At 36.2% G+C, this 19,285-nt stretch overlaps 1 protein-coding gene across 6 annotated transcripts in view, besides 2 other annotated features; it reads left to right on the top strand.

Annotated features, from left to right (window-relative positions):
* Nucleotides 1-19,285, top strand: part of MED13L (mediator complex subunit 13L) — a 319,118-nt gene that overhangs the window by 33,008 nt on the left and 266,825 nt on the right. For 5 of the 6 annotated variants that reach the window (XM_017019090.2, NM_015335.5, XM_047428607.1 and 2 more), the window contains exon 2: nt 6,981-7,218. The exons of the other annotated variant lie outside the window; for it this stretch is intronic. In XM_017019090.2, coding sequence (XP_016874579.1) covers nt 6,981-7,218 — 238 coding nt within the window. The remainder of the gene's footprint in view (nt 1-6,980; nt 7,219-19,285) is intronic. 6 annotated transcript variants of the gene reach the window in all.
* Nucleotides 7,367-7,511: an enhancer, noted in NCBI's record as "145 bp 12:116675052 oligo used in MPRA reporter constructs". NCBI's record gives its function as "activates a minimal TATA-containing promoter with higher activity for the rs61935859 G allele by MPRAs in C283T melanocytes and UACC903 melanoma cells {active_cell/tissue: C283T | UACC903}" and the evidence as "EXISTENCE:reporter gene assay evidence [ECO:0000049][PMID:36423637]".
* Nucleotide 7,439: a transcriptional cis regulatory region, noted in NCBI's record as "rs61935859 or 12:116675052 MPRA-significant variant associated with a GWAS melanoma risk locus at 12q24.21". NCBI's record gives its function as "allelic transcriptional activity with higher activity for the G allele by MPRAs in C283T melanocytes and UACC903 melanoma cells {active_cell/tissue: C283T | UACC903}" and the evidence as "EXISTENCE:reporter gene assay evidence [ECO:0000049][PMID:36423637]".

Genomic DNA, 19,285 nt, shown 5'->3' with positions numbered 1-19,285 from the left:
AGCCACTGCACCCAGCTGAGCGCCTTTTAAGCAGGCTTTTAACCAGTTGTTCTTATTTAATCTCCTCTCTGCCTTTCAACCCTACTTCCAAAATACCTGTATTTAATTCCTGAGGCTGAGGGGATTCTGTGTCAATTGGGTTGTATCTCTTTCTTCATGTTTAGGATTCAGTTTTCTTACGTATTGTAAATCTCCTTATCAGAGCATCTGCTTCTTAGCCTTCAAAATTTTGATGCTATATCCTCTCTTGTTCCACCTGCCGTTGTAATTATATAATTTAATGAAATAAAACAATGAAACAAATGTTTTTCTTGATGTCTTACAGGGGTTTAGGAGAGAGCAAAAGCAGATGTGTATGTTTATTTTGCTGTCTTTACAGGGAGTTGATTAGTTATGTTTTAACAGAAGTTTTCTATTACATGTGACTTTTTTCCTTCCTCTGAGTTGAGAGGTGACTTAATATGTTTACTGTATTAACCTACTCTACTGCAGTGGTAACCCTATCATTGGAGGAAGTGAGGTGAGGCCGACTTGGAATTTCCTAATGCATGCTTGTCAGCCTCAAATGATCACAGCTGCCTTTTCTATACACCAGCCTAGAATCCTGCCCAGGATGGATACGTTAAACTAATTGGTTTGTACTTCTGAGGACTCTTTCAATAGTTTCCTGAAATGTTGACTATCTTCTGGCAGCTTTTCTGTTCTTGATGGGTAATAAGGGTTCCATCTCATTTACAAGTTGCTTTTATGAGTGGGATGTAATTAGCCTGGGCCAGGAGACTTGAACTGATTTATAGTATCTAGGTCAACCCTATCACTTTATAGGTCCTGAATCTGAGGTGCCTTGAGGTACAGTGGATTTCCTAACATCACATAGGTAAATGGTTGAAAAACCAGGCCTTAGGACCTAGACCTCCTAATTTCCAGCCAGTGTTCTTTCCATGATACTACACCATGGGTTCATTCTAATCAACGTCTCTTGATTTTACTGTGTTCCTTGACCACTGAATGTGGTTTTAACTCTGAGGAGCCATATTGCAAGTATGTGCTGTTGGTCACAAGGGATCTAGTTGCTGTGGGTCACTGCAAATAAATAATCTCATTTCCTGTATATTGTATGTGAAGAATAGGACACTAGGAATCAATATAAATTTTCTTTGAATCACATTCATGTCAGTTAGGAAGTGCATTTATCCCTGTTTTGTTGTAATCTATTTAATTAGAACTGTTTGGAACTGACTGTAGTAGCTGTTTGTTTAGGCCAGGGGAGTATCTGCCACTTAACCCATTTATGCCTAATGTTCCATTATTGGAACACTAAACTTGTGGGAGTTATTTATATCCTACTGCTCAAGGTCATTGCCAAGGTCTGATTTTTCACAAAAAAATTTGCATCCTCCTGCATAAATGGGTTAAGTTCAATTTTCTGAGAACCCTGACTACCCCTATACCACATGCCAGCCATTGCTGAGCAGATTTTCTTCCAGCCTGTCTTGCTATCAGAATAGTGATTTTGTTGGTTCGTTGTACATATTATCTAAGAATTAGTTTATGTAGATACCATCTTATAGTGATAACATGTAAAAGAAGGCATATAATTATCTGAGTGAAATAAAAGTCTATTCATGGGATGATACGTGGGCACTCTTATACCAGTTTTCTTAATACCTCAGGAAGACTAAAGAAAGATTTATGAACTTTCTTAAATTAGAAAGTATGGCCATGAGCTCTAGTCATTGCTAAATTGAGTTGATGACAGTTTCTTTGTACTATTTTATAATCCTCTAGGGCTAATTTTTACCATTTGCCTTATGAAGCAGCATGGCAGAATGGAAAGAATTTATACTTTAAATTCAGTTACAGCTTAAATCTAGTTATATTTGGGATCTGCCATTTGCTACCTGTGTGGCTCTGGGAGAATTATTCAACCTTTCTGAGTCCTAATTTCTTTAGCTGTCTGTTGTGAAGTTTATAAATTATATATGAAGTCACTAGTATGGTGCTCGGTATTAGAAATAATATATGAAAACTCTAGTATGGTGCCTGGTAGTAAGTAGATGCTTGGTAAATAATGATGTTGGTGGTTATTATACATAATGTGCATATAGGTTTCCTTCTTTGTATATTTTAATTTCATCGTTTTGGTTCTATATTTTAGAAACCATGTAGTTTAAAACTTAGATTTAATTAAGGATTGTCTTTTTGACAGTGAGAAATAATTGTGTTTGGGGATAATTTTGAATCTATAATTATTTTAAAGGTTTGCTTTAAAATTTTGAAATCATTAGGTAAAGAATTTTGTGTTGTAGAGATAAACGTTAGTCAGAAATTGAGACAGTATGGCTGGGCACAATGGCTCACGCCTGTAATCCCAGCACTTTGGGAGGCCAAGGCAAGCGTATCACCTGAGGTCAGGAGTTCGAGCCCAGCCTGGCCAACATGGTGAAACCCTGTCTCTACTAAAAATAGAAAAATTAGCTGGGTGTGGTGGCGGGCACCTGTAATCCCACCTACTTGGGAGGCTGAGGCAGGAGAATGGCTTGCACCTGGGAGGGGGAGGTTGCCAAGATCATACCACTTCACTCCAGCCTGGGCAACAGAGCAAGACTCCATCTCAAAAAAAAAAAAAAAAAAAAAGACAAAAGAACTTGGAGTGCACTTAATTTTTAAACTATAAATATGATCATGGTCTATGAAGACATTTTACTCTTAATTGAATAAACATCCACGATGGGAATTTTTTTTCTTGGACAAACTATTTCAGTATCATTAAGCTGTCTTTTCTCTTACCAAACATTAACTCAAAATTTAAAGCTAAATCTTCGAACACCCATTTTATACTTAGTTATCTCTTTTAGGCTTGATTAGTGTTTCATTGTAACATTTTTCAATGAAGACCAATATAATGATATTTAGTTTTTAACTTTAAAGGAGCTGTTTTACCTGAATTAGTTACCAGGTGTTTAAGTTTGTAGCGTTGCTGTTGTGTCACTTGCATTTGTAAGAAAGATATCACTTGCTAGAACAACTTTGTAAAAAACAGATTAGGTGGTAGCAGCTTCCCTTTGCCACTGAGAGCATAGATGTACTGATAGGAAGTTAGTGGATGTACTAGGATTAGGAAACCATTCTCCTGAAACAATGCCAAATATTTTGTCTGCTCTACTGCCGGATATTACAGGTGAAAGTGTTGTAGTGAGTAAATTACCGTGCATAGATTTTCATGGGGACTGACTCATCTGATGTTTAAAGCTCTGATATTAATTTTCTAACACTTTAAATAAGGTTAATGTTATTAGATGTTATTAGTGATTCATATTTATTGTGTGTGTGTGTGTGTGTGTTTTTTTTTTGTTTTTTTGTTTTTTGTTTTTTTTTTAAAGAGACGGAGCCTCATTGTGTTGCCAGGCTGGAGTGCAGTGGCTCAATTTCGGCTCACTACAACCTCTGCCTCCCGGGTTCAAGCGATTCTCCTGCTTCAGCCTCCCAAGTAGCTGGGATTACAGGTGCACCACCACGCCCCGCTAATTTTTGTATTTTTAGTAGAGATGGGATTTCACCATGTTGGCCAGGATGGTCTCCATCTTTTGACCTTGTGATCCGCCCGCCTCTGCCTCCCAAAATGCTGGGATTACAGGCGTGAGCCACTGCGCCTGGCCTATTGGTGTGTTTTTATTACCTTCTTTCTCTTCCCTCATCCACAAGGCTCTTAGGCACAGAATACTTTCTTTAGCTTAGGTGATAAAAGAAGTTAGTCTTCTGCTTACCTTTTTGGATTTCAACTTCTTTTTATTTTTGTTTCCTTCTTTGATGTTTAAAGATTGATGTTAGGGTTTCTGATTAAAACATACACCTTGATGTCCGGGCGTGGTGGCTCGCGCCTGTAATCCCAGCACTTTGGGAGGCGGAGGTGGGCGGGTCACGAGGTCAGGAGATCGAGACCACAGTGAAACCCCCCCGTCTCTACTAAAAATACAAAAAATTAGCCGGGCGCGGTGGCGGGCGCCTGTAGTCAGTCCCAGCTACTCGGGAGGCTGAGGCAGGAGAATGGTGTGAACCCAGGAGGCGGAACTTGCTGTGAGCCGAGATCGCGCCACTGCACTGCAGCCTGGGTGACAGGGCGAGACTCCGTCTCCAAAAAAAAAAAAATAAAATAAATCTTCTGCTTACCTTTTTGGATTTCAACTTCTTTTTATTTTTGTTTCCTTCTTTGATGTTTATAGATTGATGTCAGGGTTTCTGATTAAAACATACACATTGCTTTTATTTGAAGAAACAAAGGAACTTGGCCAGGCGCAGTGGCTCATACCTGTATAATCCCAGCACTTTGGGAGGCCGAGGTGGGTGGACCGCTTGAGGTTAGGAGTTTGAGACCAGCCTGGCCAGCATGATGAAACCCCGTTTCTACTAAAAATACAAAAATTAGCCAGGTGTGGTGGTGCACGCATGTAGTCCCAGCTACTCAGGAGGCTGAGGCATGAGAATTGCCTGAACCTGGGAGGCCAGTGTTGCACTGCTGCACTCCAACCTGGGTGACAGAGCGAGGCTCCATCTCAGAAAAAAAAAAAGGAACTTGTAAGATAGAAAAATGGACAAAGGGTATGAACAGACAACTCAAAGTGAAAGAAATAGTACTACTACTAGTGGTATAATGAAAATATCATTTACAGTTTTTGCTATGTCCCAGACACTGTCTTTTATAAATGCTTCATATGTATACTGACTCATTTAACCAATGAGTTAGTGCAGAGCTGGGATTCAAACCCAGGAATGGTGGCCCCATCTGATCAAAGATGTGATACCGCATACTGATTTCCTCCTAGCAGAACAAGGACTATGTATTAATACAAGTACATACCGTTCTATTCAATTGGCCGATATTTTAAAAGATATGCAATTTGGGAGGTGGCTATTTGTATTGGGGAGACTATTAATTGAACAGTAACGTGGTAGCACTCATCATGAGTCTTGATATATTCTTTGGTAATTCAGTATCAAGCAATCTCTTTAAAGGAAATAATCAGGAAAATAACAGTGTTCAAGGATGTTAACCAATTATAGTAATTACAGTAGTGGAAATAAAATGGAAGATTGTCCAGTTGGTATGGGATGGCTAAATTATATTTTTTCCAATGAATAGAATATTATGCAAAGATTAAAAGTGTATTTTGAAGAATAATTAGTAATATATAAAAATAAGTGAAAAATATAAATCATGCAATATGGTTCCAACTTTAAAAAGTATATGTACAGAAAAAGAGGAAGGACATATACAGTAGGATGCTAGTGATTATTATAATGTGATTATGGTGTATTACTTCTGAACTTTTTATATTGGCCATGTAGTGCTTTTATATTTAGAGGAAACCAAGTAACATATAGGGAAACCCTAAATGATGCCAGTGCCAGCTTTTTACTAAACATATTCATTAAAAATTTAGATTTGCGTATCTCAGCGTAAAATATAAGTTACTGATTTTTAGATATTTTTAGTTTGTATATTATCTTTGTAACTTTTTTGAAGCAAAACCTTTTTTTTTGTTGTTTGTTTGTTTTTGTTTTTTGAAACAGAGTCTCACTCTGTCACCCTGGCTGGAGTGCTGTGGCATGTCACTCAGGCTGGAGTGCCGTGGCACGATCTCGGCTCACTGCAACCTCCGCCTTCCAAGTTCAAGCAATTCTTGTGCCTCAGCCTCCTGAGTAGCTGAGATTACAGGCACACGCCACCACGCCCGGCTAATTTTGGTATTTTTAGTGGAGACGGGGTTTCAGCATGTTGGTCAGGCTGGTCTCGAACTCCTGACCTCATGATCTGCCCGCCTAGGCCTCCCAAAGTGCTGGGATTACAGGCGTGAACCACCGTGCTCAGCCTGAAGCAAAACCTTTTTAATTTGGATTAAATGAAAGGTGATTTTTCTTTTTCTTAAATGTGGTCATTATAGTGATTGATTGCTTTAGCACTTTTAATATGTTTCAATTATGTTAGTAGAAGATATGGCTGTTTTCTACCTAGTGGTACATGTTATTTTTGCAAACAACTTGCTAACAAAAATAACTGACCTTGTGGGGAAGGAGATGCGTGAGTAAGGATTCAATGCAAGGGCCACCTGGGCTGTTTGGTACAGAATTAAATTATGAATCTGTTTTACTATTAGTTTTCAATATATAGCTGTAGTTTATAACTTTAAGAAATTTAGCTTTCGCTTGTGTTGAAACCTCTTTGAAGTTTAGCTCTTAACTTAAGATTTAAGACATCTTGAAATATAAACGTATGTAATGGATCAAAGATACAGTATTTGTTCTCTGCTGGTTGCAAGTTCTCATGTTTTACAATGTGTGTAAAAAATAAAATACCAAACTACATTAGGGAATTGTTATAGAAGCAAAGCTTTTCTGTTTGCTACATGTTAAAAAACATGAATAAATTGCTGATAACTTTGTATCAGTTTTCTTAATTGCTTCTACCTAAATAGACTTTTGGCATTCATGATGAAACACTCTCGTACTTCATGCTAACTGCTTCCCTAATTAAAAAAGGACTTAAACTGTGGCTTGTGGATGGGAAGAAATTATTTGAAAGAAATTATTTCATATATACAAACTTATTTTTAAAATCTTACTTGATTTCTAAATATAATTTGTGAGTTGAATATTGAATGATAACATAGAAAATAGTTTTCTGCATAGAGACTTTATAGTAAGTGTTTAGACAAATTAAATTATTCAACAGGAAATAATGATTATCAGCTTGTTTTATTTTAGTATTTAATGTAAAGAGCTATGTAGAAATCTTGATAGAAAGTTTCTCCCACCTTAAAATTCGAGAAGATTGACATACATTCTTCACTGGGAGGAATCTTATGATATGAAGTTTCGTGTAAATATTTATTTTAGCACAATTGCTTTTCTGTATGGAAGACTGTTTTTAGTGGTCTGTAAGTAAAATGAGAAAACGATTACAATTTTTTGTCTTTTTCCAGGCTGAACTCACGGGAATCAAATGGCGTAGGTACAATTTTGGAGGGCATGGGGACTGTGGACCCATAATTTCAGCCCCAGCCCAAGATGATCCAATTCTGTTAAGTTTCATCCGCTGTCTGCAAGCTAACCTGCTTTGTGTATGGCGTCGTGATGTCAAACCAGATTGCAAAGAGTTATGGATATTCTGGTGGGGAGATGAACCCAACCTAGTGGGTGTAATACATCATGAACTGCAGGGTAAGGTTTCTGTTTTTTTCTTAAAAATTATTTGCATCATATTTTTTTGAACATTGATAAATTTCAAACAGATTATTAAGACTTGTCTAAAAGAACGATCTTAAGTGTTTCATGGATGTCTCTCTCAAAAGGAACATTCTCACCCCTCTTCCTCCCATCCCTGTTTTTTTTTCCTAACTCTTGTCCTTTTCCAGTTATGCTGAGAATCAGAACCTTGTGAACCGCTGCTGTTAAATGAGAGTATTGTGTCTCCTGGGTGCGGTGGGGTGGAAACCAGGCTAAGATCCACTGTTTTTAAATGATAGTGAATTGTGAGTAACTAACAAGACAGTGAATTGAACAGTTACTGTTTTTTTCCTTGGACTGTGGTTGTTATGGTTCACTGCCAGCTGAACTCTTTGGTGGAAAATTGGAGAGTGATACAGAAATTTAGTTTTGAGCCTAATTGGACAAAATTGTGAGATTACATTGAATAGTATTTTGAGGAAAGATGAATATATGGGATCTGGTCTGAATTGGGTGTAGCAAATTTTCTTTTGCTTTTATTTCTGTTTTTCATGTAATTTGGTGATTCCAGGAAACATTGGCTCCGGTGTTGCCTGATTTTTAGCTTCAGATTGCATCTGATATCTGGAAACTGAATTAATGTAAGAGTTTCATTTTTCTGTGCTGCTTTATATATTTACCACAGTTTTATGAGCAGGAACTTTTATCAGTTGTCTTTGAATTTCTGGTAAAAATTTTTACCTTTTTATCTAAGTGTTTCTATTTAGTATGCAAAGGGATTTTCTCAAGCAAGACTAATTCTAATCTTTAGTTAGGGTATTAACTCTTTTTGACTTAGTCTCTTAGAACCATCTTTTATTATCTCCAAACTATATTGTGTTAATCTGTGTCTGAAAAATTTCAGATCGTGTTTGAAATGTTTTGTTACTTGATGTTTTTAATGTTTTTTTTTTTTAAAGGAAGGAGTAAAACTAACTGTAATGTATGTTCGAGGCTCTGTTCTAAAGCTTTTACATTTGCCTGAAGGATTTCCTGCCAACTTTTGCTTGACACCTTGCTAGTTTTTCTTGGCAGCCATTTTTTATCTGTGATATCTCCTGCCACAGCAGCCAGAGGGCGGTAAACCACAATGGACTAATTGAACTGTTTACTTTATGGTCCATTTGTCTGTTCAGCTCAAACCTTTATCCTGATATTTTTTAGGGTATTTGGTCTATAAATAAGAGAACCATTGTGGGTGACATTGCTTGCTTAGCTGGGTAATCAGCAAAGTCCCAGAACTTAACATTCATCTCAAAGCCTGTTCTATGTAGTTAGCAGTTAACTTAGGTAAAATTAGAGTTTCAGAACATCTGGATTCTGTTTATCAGAATTTTAAAAATAAGATGTCACCTAGAAGATAATTACAACATTTTTGTTTGTCCATTAAAATATGAAAACATATTTTTACTTTTTTTCCCTATGTAGTAGAGAGGTATAAAGCTTTTTAAAAAGTGTCTTTCTTATCTTTCATGATTGTTTCTGACTGTCATCTTCTGTTTCTCTGTATTAATCTCTTACGTTTTAGCTTTTTGGTCTGCTCTTTGTTAGTGTGGTACATATAATTTTGTAATGATGAGGAAACCAAACCCAACTGCTAATGAGGGTTATTTAGTTGATAATATAGAATAAATTTATTTATCTATGCCAACGGAGAAAATCGTCAGTGTTCTTAGAAATAGCTTATTAAATTATTGTGTTATTTTTCATGGGCTTTGTTACTGAGTTAACAAAAAGGAGTAGGGCATTTAAATTTTGGGATAGTTGCTTTAGATTGCATGTGTAAATTAATATCTTAAGTATTTTTTGGTAAAGAGTTAAGCAAAGATTGAATTATTTTTAGATATTTTTAAAATTACAGAAACACTACATTTAAGTTAGAAAATTAGGAAAACAGTCATCATATGGAGAGAACAAAGAAATAAAAATACTGAAGTCTGAAAGAGTTTTAGATGTTTTATGTGTAAATGAAATTGGTACCATACAGTTTTTCTAATTTTCTAATTAAATGTAGTATTGTGAATATTTTCTCTTGGGAATGATTACTTTTCTTTGGAGTTTGATAGTGGTATAAACTGTTTATATTTTGTATTCTATCAGGAAAGTATTACAGTAATGGAATAATTATAATTTCATTGAGTGCGTCTCCTCTTTTTAATATGAATTTTGAGCAAGTTTTTAGATTCATTTATATGAAGTGTCCATTTTTGTAGGTAAAAGTAGTTGAAAAAGGTAATGTATGGTTCAACCTAATAACAGAAAATATCTAGCCTTAATTAGAAAAATAAGTCATAAAGACAACTTTGTTTCAAATAAGGGGAAATACGATAGCAGTCATGAAAAACTGAAGGATACAAAGAGAATATTTTAATTGGTAGCCATACAAAGTGGAGATATTTTAGAATCTATTTCATTCTCTAATATATTTGAGTCATTTTATTTTGGGTAAAATAAATTATAGGCGGAGCATGGTGGCTCACGCTGGTTATCCCAACACTTTGGGAGGCTGAGGGGGCCCAAATGCTTGAGGCCAGGAATTTGAGACCAGCCTGACCAATATGGTGAAACCCTGTGTTTACAAAAAATAAAAAAAAAAAATTAGCCAGGTGTGGTGACGTGCACCTGTAATTCCAACTACTCGGGTGACTGGGGCTGGAGGATCACTTAAACCCAGGAGGCCAAGGTTGCAGTGAGCAGAGATAATGCCACTGCACTCCATCCTGGGCAACAAAGTGACACCTGTCTCAAAAAATAAAATAAATAAATAGTAGCAGAATCCTTTTAGCAGGCTTTAATGTTAAGCATGAGATTACCATTATTTGTAACATTTTTTAAATAGGGACATTTTACTGTTTCTTACATTGCTGCTTATTTATGTTATTTGGCATTTCCTGGCTGGTCACGGTGGCTCACGCCTGTAATCCCTGCACTTTGGGAGGCCTAGGCAGGAGGATCACCTGAGTTCAGGAGTTGGAGACCAGCCTGGCCAACATAGTGAAACCCCCTCTCTAGTAAAAATAAACAAAAATTAGCTGGGCATGGTGGTGGGTGCCTGTAATCCCAGCTACTGGAGAGGCTGAGACAGGACAGTCGCTGGAAACCGGGAGGCAGAGGTTACAGTGGGCTGAGATCACGCCACAGCACTCTGCTGGGCAACACAGCAAGACTCCATCTCAATAAATAAATAAATAAATAAATAAATAAATAGCAGAATCCTGTTAGCTGGCTTAAATTAAGCATGACATTACCATTATTTAACATTTTTTTTAATAGAGGCATTTTATTGTTTCTTAAATTGCTTTTTAGTTATTTGGCATTTCCCTTTGTCTTCATAGCGTACTCCAAATAGCGTCCTACCAAGAAACCTCACGGTGAGATGTAATACCAAAGCAACCATCTTGCATTTAAATGTATAAAGTATCCCATAAAATGAGAATAATCCTACAGGGTACACACACAAGTTAGTTTTATGATATTATACTTTTTGTTTAATTGCTTGACATATCTCTGAAATAGTCTGAGAGAAGGCTATAACACATTTATAATCTGTCCTTGTCACTTGGATAAACACTTGGGTTCCTGTCTGGGGAATTGTTAATGCGTGTGGTGTAGTGATTCAGAGCACGGGCTCTGGGTTGCTTGGGTTTGAATGCTTGCATAGTCACTAGCTGTGTATTCTTGATCTAATTATTTAACTTAAACTGTGCCTCAGTTTTCTCACTGTGAATTAGGTTATGAGGTTAAGAAAAATTAAAAGTACTTAGAGCAGCATATATAGCAGTTAATCTATAATTGTAACTATTGCTACTGCTACTGTGCAAAGACCTACAGGCTGCGAATGAATTGTGGCAAGAACAGGTTACCTGGGGCTTAGGGTAGGAGTGAAATAGTCTCCCCTCTAAAAGGCTGAGTAGGTGGGTCATAGTATGGAGTACACAGAACCAAGGATAAGACATTTAGACTTAATTTGATAGATTTTGAGGAATTAAACATTTCTGATCAGGAAAGCGATATAATTAGGAAGATTAACTTAGTAATAATACAGGATTAATGTGTACAGGGAAACCATAATATTGTGATTTTAAAATTCTAAATTGGAATATAAACTTAAATATTCTGTTCAGGATACAGATGTATTTAAATTAAAAATACTAATGATTATATACTATAATTCATATTAATAGTCTTTAACACTTTTATTATACCTTTGCTGTTTTGGCTTGACTAAATTCTACATTTTAATTTAAGTTTTAGAGATTAATACAGTGTGCTGAGTGGACTTCTCCTAATCTACCAAACAAATACTTCTTACTTTTTTTTTTTTTTTTTTTTCCTTTAGACAGAGTCTTGCTCTGTTGCCCAGGCTGGAGTGCAGTGATGCAATCTTGGCTCACTGCAACCTCTGCCTCCCGGGTTCAAATGATTCTCCTGCCTCAGCCTTCTGAGTAGCTGGGATTGCAGGTGTATGCCACCACACCTGGCCAATTTTTGTATTTTTAGTAGAGATGGGGTTTCACCATGTTGGCCAGGTTGATCTCAAACTCCCAACCTCAATCGATCCGCCCGCCTCGGCCTCCCAAAGTGCTGGGATTACAGGCGTGAGCCACTGGGCCTGGCAACAAATGCTTTTTAAATAAACACAATATTCTCGCCAATTCACTGCCTGTTAGTTAGTGGTGGGAAAGACATGCAATCTGGAAAACCCAAAATAGTACAGAGAGCAAGCACAGAACTGCCAATTGCTTGCCCCAAAGCATTACAAATCTCTGGTCCAGAAGGAGAAGTATCAGATTCAGCCTAGTATGTGCTTAAGAATGTTTGTCGAATCAGTTAATGAAACGTATTTTATGAGGTTCTAATGTAGCGCAGTATTGCACTCCCGGCAGATTGACTTATAATAAATTTGTGAAAATTTTTAATGATTTGATAATGCGAGGATATTGAAGCCTAGTTAAAATAAAGCATATTATTTCTGGTTTTAATTCCCAAGGGGATAGAAATAGCCAATTTTTGGGGTATATTTTCTACCACAAATATTTAGCACTAAATATGCACTGTCTACAATTTTAAAATTTATGTTGTCTCTTTTTTTGATTATTAGACATATAAATTAAGGATACATCTGTACAACTCTAAAAATGATTGTCCCTATAACAGTATCAGAAGTCTTCTGAATTGGTTTTATTGTCAGTGCAGGGGTAGATTGGCAGTTATTACCCTTTGTTGTGAATTTAGAGACATAAATATTGCTTTTTCTATTTTTAAGAGTGCTGCCACCTGTGCCAGGAGGTGTGGGCGATTGTAAAAACATTAGACATAAGAGAGCCTGGAAAAATGGATCTGTTTTCTGACAGTGACCACGGTGTAAGATAATTTAAGATACTAGTACTATTGTTTATTGAACTCATTGCAAGTGGGCATTTTGTAGGAGTGTGGGAAGGCTGGATTTTTTTAGTTTTGTAATCTGTATCTATAGATTACAGTCTACAATTCCAAATGGTGGGATTGATAAAACCTTTGTTTAGATAACTCCAAGCAAGAACCTAGCTTCTCCACTCCTCCTAGCTTTTTATTTTTAAATATATTTACACACTTATATGCATATGCCTCTTTTTCCACCTAAACTATTTGAGGCAATTTTCAGACTTCACGGACCTTTGCCCCTAAATACTTCAGCATTTAAGTCCTGTGAATGAGAATGTGAAGCACTCTTTTACGTAACCAGAGCACTTTTGGCATGCTCAAGAAATTTAATATCGATATAATTAAATTATCTAATATTTAGTCCATATTCAAATTTCCCAATTGTCTTAGCAATACCTTTTATAGTTTTCTCTCTCTCTGATCCAGAATGCAATCAGGATCACACATTTTTAGATGGCTTGTGTCCTCTCATTTAGAATATTCCTGAAGTTGTCTTGGGGATCAATGATATTGATGTTATTTGAAGGGAGCAGTTTAGTTGTCCTGTAAAATATCCCACATTTTGAATTTGTCTAATTGTTTTCTTACAGTTAGAGTCAGGATAAACATATTTGGCAAGAATACTGAGTAGGTGATGTTGTGTCCTTTCCACGGCATCACATCAGAAACAGGTCATGTCAGTTTGTCTCAATATTGATGGTACTGAGCTTGATCCCTTGATTAAGGTAGTGTCTGCCAGATTTCTCCAGTGTAAAGATATCCTTTCCTTTTGTAATTGTTAAGTAAATTTGGGATGAAACTTTGAGATTGTGTGAATATCTCTTTCCTCAAAAGAGCCTAATTTTGAGCCTGTTTAAACCAACCGAAAAATTCCGGAATCACCTGCTTTTAGAAAATCAGTTGAGATCACATGAAGACTGCATTTTTAAGTCACAGCAGAGTTCAAGAGGAGAAGAGAATAAAATATTGAAGATCTACCAAAGGCAAATTATAATGGCAATGTCACACTATGAAAATGAATAGCCCCTATTGCTTAGCATACCTAAAAAGAGAAGTGTTGACATTGAATTTTCCAAAATCATAGACAATAATGTATGTAGGAATATATTACTGTGTATCTTAGAGTCTGTGAACTTTCAATTGATTTTTGATGGTTTCTGGTTATCCTTAACTAAATGGTAAAAATAATTTCATCGGTATTATACATGAATTTATTATCAGTTGAAATTAAAAAATTGCTTTCTGGAAAAGTAATGACTATTTTATATATAAATTGACAGGAATAAGATTATCTCTTGTCATTTTGAAAATTTCTTTCAAGGAGAAAATCTGATCTTTGACTCATTTTCACTCTGTTTTTCTATCTTTTTTTTTAGTGGTATTAAATTTGTGAGTCATTGAAATTAATCCCTGACTGAATTGGAAAGGAATTGTATTTGCAGTATTTGGATTTATTTATTTTTCAGGTATGGAATTCTGGTGATTTTGAAAACATGAATGATACCATTTTGCAGCAGCATTGTAGATTTGTAGTATTTTAGATTGGTATCACAGTGCACCTGAAAAGTAAGTTTCATTTTACTTTTTTTTATTGTTGTTGAGACGGAGTCTCACTTTGTCACCCAGGCTGGAGTGCAGTGGTGTGATCTTGGCTCATGGCAGCCTCTGCCTCGCTGGTTCAAGCGATTCTCCTGCCTCAGCCTCCCGAGTAGCTAGGACTATAGATGCTCGCCACCATGCCCAGCTAATTTTTTGTATTTTTTTTGAGTAGGGCTGCATGTTGGCCAGGCTGGTCTTGAACTCCTGACCTCAAGTGATGCTCCTGCCTTGGCCTCCCAAAGTGCTGGGATTACAGGTGTGAGCCACCACGCCCAGCTACTTTACCTTTCATATTTGTCATTATTTTGTGGATAATAATGAAGAATACATTTGTATTTCATGAGAAACAAGTACTTTCAGGAAAAACACATATCCAGTGATAAATGGCAGCTAGGTCTAAGTAGTTTATAAAGTATACTTTTATTTTTCTTGGATCTGAATTATTCAAGTTTTGATGTAAATTTCCTGATTCTTTAAATAATTACATTACTGTTCTGTTTTTCTGTTTTATTTGAAAGAATGAGTTTGCCAAAGCTATAAAGTAGTAAGTTTTTCATTGGGTGATTATCTGAATGGGTCTAGTGCATACTTACTAAATATTAGACTTAATGTGTAATTATATACTTGAAAGGAAAAATAACATACTTATTAAGACTGATAAATAATACATTCATATTGTAAAATTATGGTAAGATCATAATCTCAGTTCTTTCAGATGAAGAATTGAAAAAGATCTAGTGAATTAGATAAAATTATTAAGGTAAATATGCTTGAAATTGAGAGAACAAGCTAAAGTCTATCTTTTGAGTGTAAGTAAAATCGATGTGTTACCACAGGCAACTTACTGAACCATGTAATTAGTTTTTTTCTATGAAAAATGAGACATACTGAGATTGTGTTAAAGTAGCATGTAAAGGGCTTATGTTCTAATGATATGAAAATTAAAGAATTGGTAAAAAAAAGTTATAATTTTCAGTTTGTTGGTAAGTATAGTTATTATGGCCTAATGTTTTGCGTTGATATGAAATCACCTACTTATATAAAGTAAACCTGAGTAAAATCCTCTTAAATGAGATGTTAGAGTCACCATTGGAACAAATAGTGTTGAAAATTGTCTTAACACTAGATTAACTGTTATTTGGTATATTGTTTTTTAAAATGTGAGTAATTTTTATGATTAATACATTGTGACTGGTAGATAAGTGTTTAGTCTAACATTTTTAAGTGTAGCCATGTTTGATGCCCCCCTCACCATTTGTGTATATTTTATTTCAAAAGCTTGTACTTTCATAGAAAACTTTAAGATTTAGAAGAGGCTGTTGTGGCCTGGTGTGATGGCTCATGCCTGTAATCCCAGCACTATGGGAGGCTGAGGAGGGAGGATCGCTTGAGCCCAGAACTTTGAGACCAGCCTGGGAAACATAGTGCGATACCATCTCTGTTAAAAAAAAATTTAAAAAAGAGGTTGTTGATCATTAAGATGGCATAGTGATATAGGTAAAGGGTTTTTTTGTTTGCTTAGCAAAATATTTTCTTAGTTTTATTTCTTAGGGAGGCTGAGGTAAGAATCTGAATGTGGAAAATTGAAGAAAAGGTTTAAATATTGGTAGAATTTAGGGCCTAAATAATTCGAGAAAGAATTATATATTAGAACATTAACATTGAATGGAGTAGAGCTACACATTTATAGGGAATAACACCTTCTGCTTATAAGCAAATTCATTGCTGACGTGTATAAATGGCATTAGGTTGGTTGTACTGTTCACATTATTTTATATAGGAGATGAAATAAAAATTCCCTAAAATAAAACTAGGGTTTTCTTAGGAAAGAGGAAGTGGGGAATGGATCTTAGTGGGTCATGAACGAGTGTCCTCTTCTGCAGTGGGACCCTGTCTCTGCAGAAAAGAAAAGCAGTAGTTGGGCATGGTTGGTGTTCGCCTTGTAGTTTCAACTACTTGGGAGGCTAAGGTGGGAGGATTACTTGAGCCCAAGAGTTCAGGGTTGCAGTGAGCTATGATTGTGCCACTGCAGTCCAGCCTGAGTGACACAGTAAGACCCTATCTCTAGAAAAGAAAAAAATAAAACCTGTTGTTTAGTGTAGCCACCTCATTAATGATCTTAGCAAGATCTTCTGAATAGAGAAGCTGCAGCTTCTTCATCAGCACTTGCTGCTTCTCCTTGTGTCTTTATGTAAGGGAGATGGAATCTTTCCCTAATCTTCATGAACCAACCTCTGCTAGCTCCCAGGTTTGCTTCCTCACCTCTCTCCGTCTTGGTAGAATTGAAGAGAGTTTGTGCCTTGTTCTGGATTCGGCTTTGACTTAAGGGAGTATGGTGGCTGGTGTGATCTTTCAGACCACCCAGACTTTCTCCATATCAACAATAAGCCTGTTTCACTTTCTTATCATTCATGTGTTTGCTGGAGTAGCACTTGTAATTTCCTTCAAGATTTTTTTAAATTTTTTATTTATTTATTTTTTTTGCATTCACAGCTTGGCTTCTTGGCTCAAAAGCACTAGTTTTCAGCCTATCTTGGCTTTCGACATGACTTCTTCACTAAGCTTAATCATTTCTCACTTTTGATATAAAGTAAGAGATGGGCAGTTCTTCCTTTTCACTTGAACATTTAATGGCCATTGTAGGGTTATTAATTGGCCTAACTTTAATATTGTTTCTAGCAACTAGGCTTGAGGAGAATAAGAGAGATGGGGAGGAGCCAGTCCTGGAGCAGTCAGAACACATACAATAGTGATCAATTGGTTCAGTCTGCTGTTTTATATGGGTGTGGTTTGTGGTGCCCCTGAACAATATAATAGTAACATCAAAGATCACTGATCACAGATCCACCATAACAGATATTATAATAATGAAAATGTTTGAAATATTGCAAGAATTACCAAAATGTGACACAGACACAAGAATTGAGCACATGCTTTTTGAAAAATGGCGCTGATAGGCTTGCTCGACACAGGGTTGCTACACACCTTAAATTTGTAAAAAATGCAGCATCTGTGAAGCGAAACAATGTGAAATGCAATAAAATGAGATATTCCTATATCTTATTGAGGTAGTTGATAAGCTGGAATTACATATCTGCTATCGTTAGAGATCTTCTTTACCCCTTATTTTTTCTTCGTAGAGATCTGTTGTCATAGCCCAGATATTGAAAAATCAGAGATAAATAGCGAAAGAATGGGAAAACTATTGGTGAAGCAGAAGGCTACCTTTGAGTTGTTTTATGGTCTCTGGATCTGCTTAAAGTATAATAGACTAAACTGATGTATAGATCTCTCTGCTTAACTTTCTGTGAATTAGTGTTTGAAAATGTAATTACAGATGGTTTCCACTTGGTATTGTTTTATGATGGCTGAGCAAATGGAAATTAAAACTTGATATACTCAGCTATAAGTATCATTGGGCCTAAGGTTAAAAAAAAAAAACCTTAATGGTAGAAATAACACGTAAATATTTTTTTCCTCTTAAAAAACCCAGATAGTGTAGGCATCTGTGGTGTTTTTTTTTTTTTTTTTGAGATGGAGTCTCACTCTGTTGCCCAGGCTGGAGTATGGTGGTGCAGTCTCTGCTCACTGCAACCTCCACGTCCGGAGTTCGAGCAGTTCCCCTGCCTCAGCCTCCCAAGTAGCTGGGATTAAAGGTGTGTGCCACCACACCTGGCTAGTTTTTGTATTTTTAGTAGAGATGGGGTTTCACCATGTTGGCCAGGCTGGTCTCAAACTTCTGACCTCAAGTGATCTGCCCTCCTGGGCCTCCCAAAGCGCTGGGATTATAGGCGTGAGCCGCCACTCCTGGCCGAAATCTGTTTTAAGTATAGAACATCATGAAATTGGATTCTGTTGCTTTAAGCATTTCATGACTGAGCTGCTGTCTGGATGCTACCTGAAGAGATTCTCATTGAATATCATTATGGCCAGTAAGTGTTCCATAATTTTCTTTAAGCTCCATCTATGTAAATATTTTTGAACAATTTTGCACAAGTACAGGGCCACATACCTATTTGTTATAAACCCGACGTTGATAAAATGCACTCTTAGTATAATTGGGTCTTGTTTTGATCCTGGCAGTTTCATATTGGGATTTGGCAGTGAGTTCAACAGAATAAGCATTATCCTCTTGAGGCCCATCTAGGATTGAACTAAAGGGCTTCTACAATATCCACATGATCATACAATTAGTTCTCTCTCTCCCTCTCTTTTTTTTGTGCTGTGATAGTGTAACTGAATATGAGCTGGTTGCCAGGGTATTGTGGTAGAATAATACCCTGCAGTAAACAGTTAATCATGCAGCAGAACTGGCTTGATTTAAAAAAAAAAAAAAAAAAGATAAAAATTAGATAAAGATGAAGTGGCTTTGTGTTGAAAAAGATTGTATGTATATGATGGTAAAAGGAAGGTTAGAGTGTTCATAAATCTGTTGTTAGTCTTTTCCTCATATTTATATAATGTCATATGCAAAATATTTTCTTTTTTAAAAATTACTTTTATTTTTGACTTTGCTAGCACGTGGGGGAAGTAAGACTTTTTGCTAATCTTGAAGGCTTACTTTCTGACACAAGAGAAAAAAAGTAAATATTTGTGGAAAGACTGCTTGAATAAGGGAAGTGTGAACCTATTCAACATGAGGTCTCTTCATTAAGATTGTTTTATTTTTCACAGGTAATCTTGAACTTGTTTAAATGTAAGCTGCTTTGGTGTTTGCTACTTTTAATAAGGCATGTTATTCACTTTGAAATATATTTAGTCTAAAGGAGAAAAATTTCGATACTCTCAGTTAAATTTCAGGCACTATATTTTTTAGCTTATCTTAAAAGTAGCCTAGTAGATATTTATAACGAAAAGGTTGCTTGCCTTGGCATCCTTGGACAAATTACATACAACTCTGATTGTTTAGGGAGGTAATAGCGTTTGTTGACAATAACTCCTATTTTGGAAACATTTGTCATGCCGTTTATTGGTTTCATGAAGAGTATAACAAAGGGGC

The sequence above is a fragment of the Homo sapiens genome, chromosome 12 (assembly GCF_000001405.40).
Source record: "Homo sapiens chromosome 12, GRCh38.p14 Primary Assembly".
In the NCBI taxonomy this organism is placed as follows: domain Eukaryota; kingdom Metazoa; phylum Chordata; class Mammalia; order Primates; family Hominidae; genus Homo; species Homo sapiens.
This window is presented reverse-complemented; position numbering and strand designations above follow the sequence as displayed.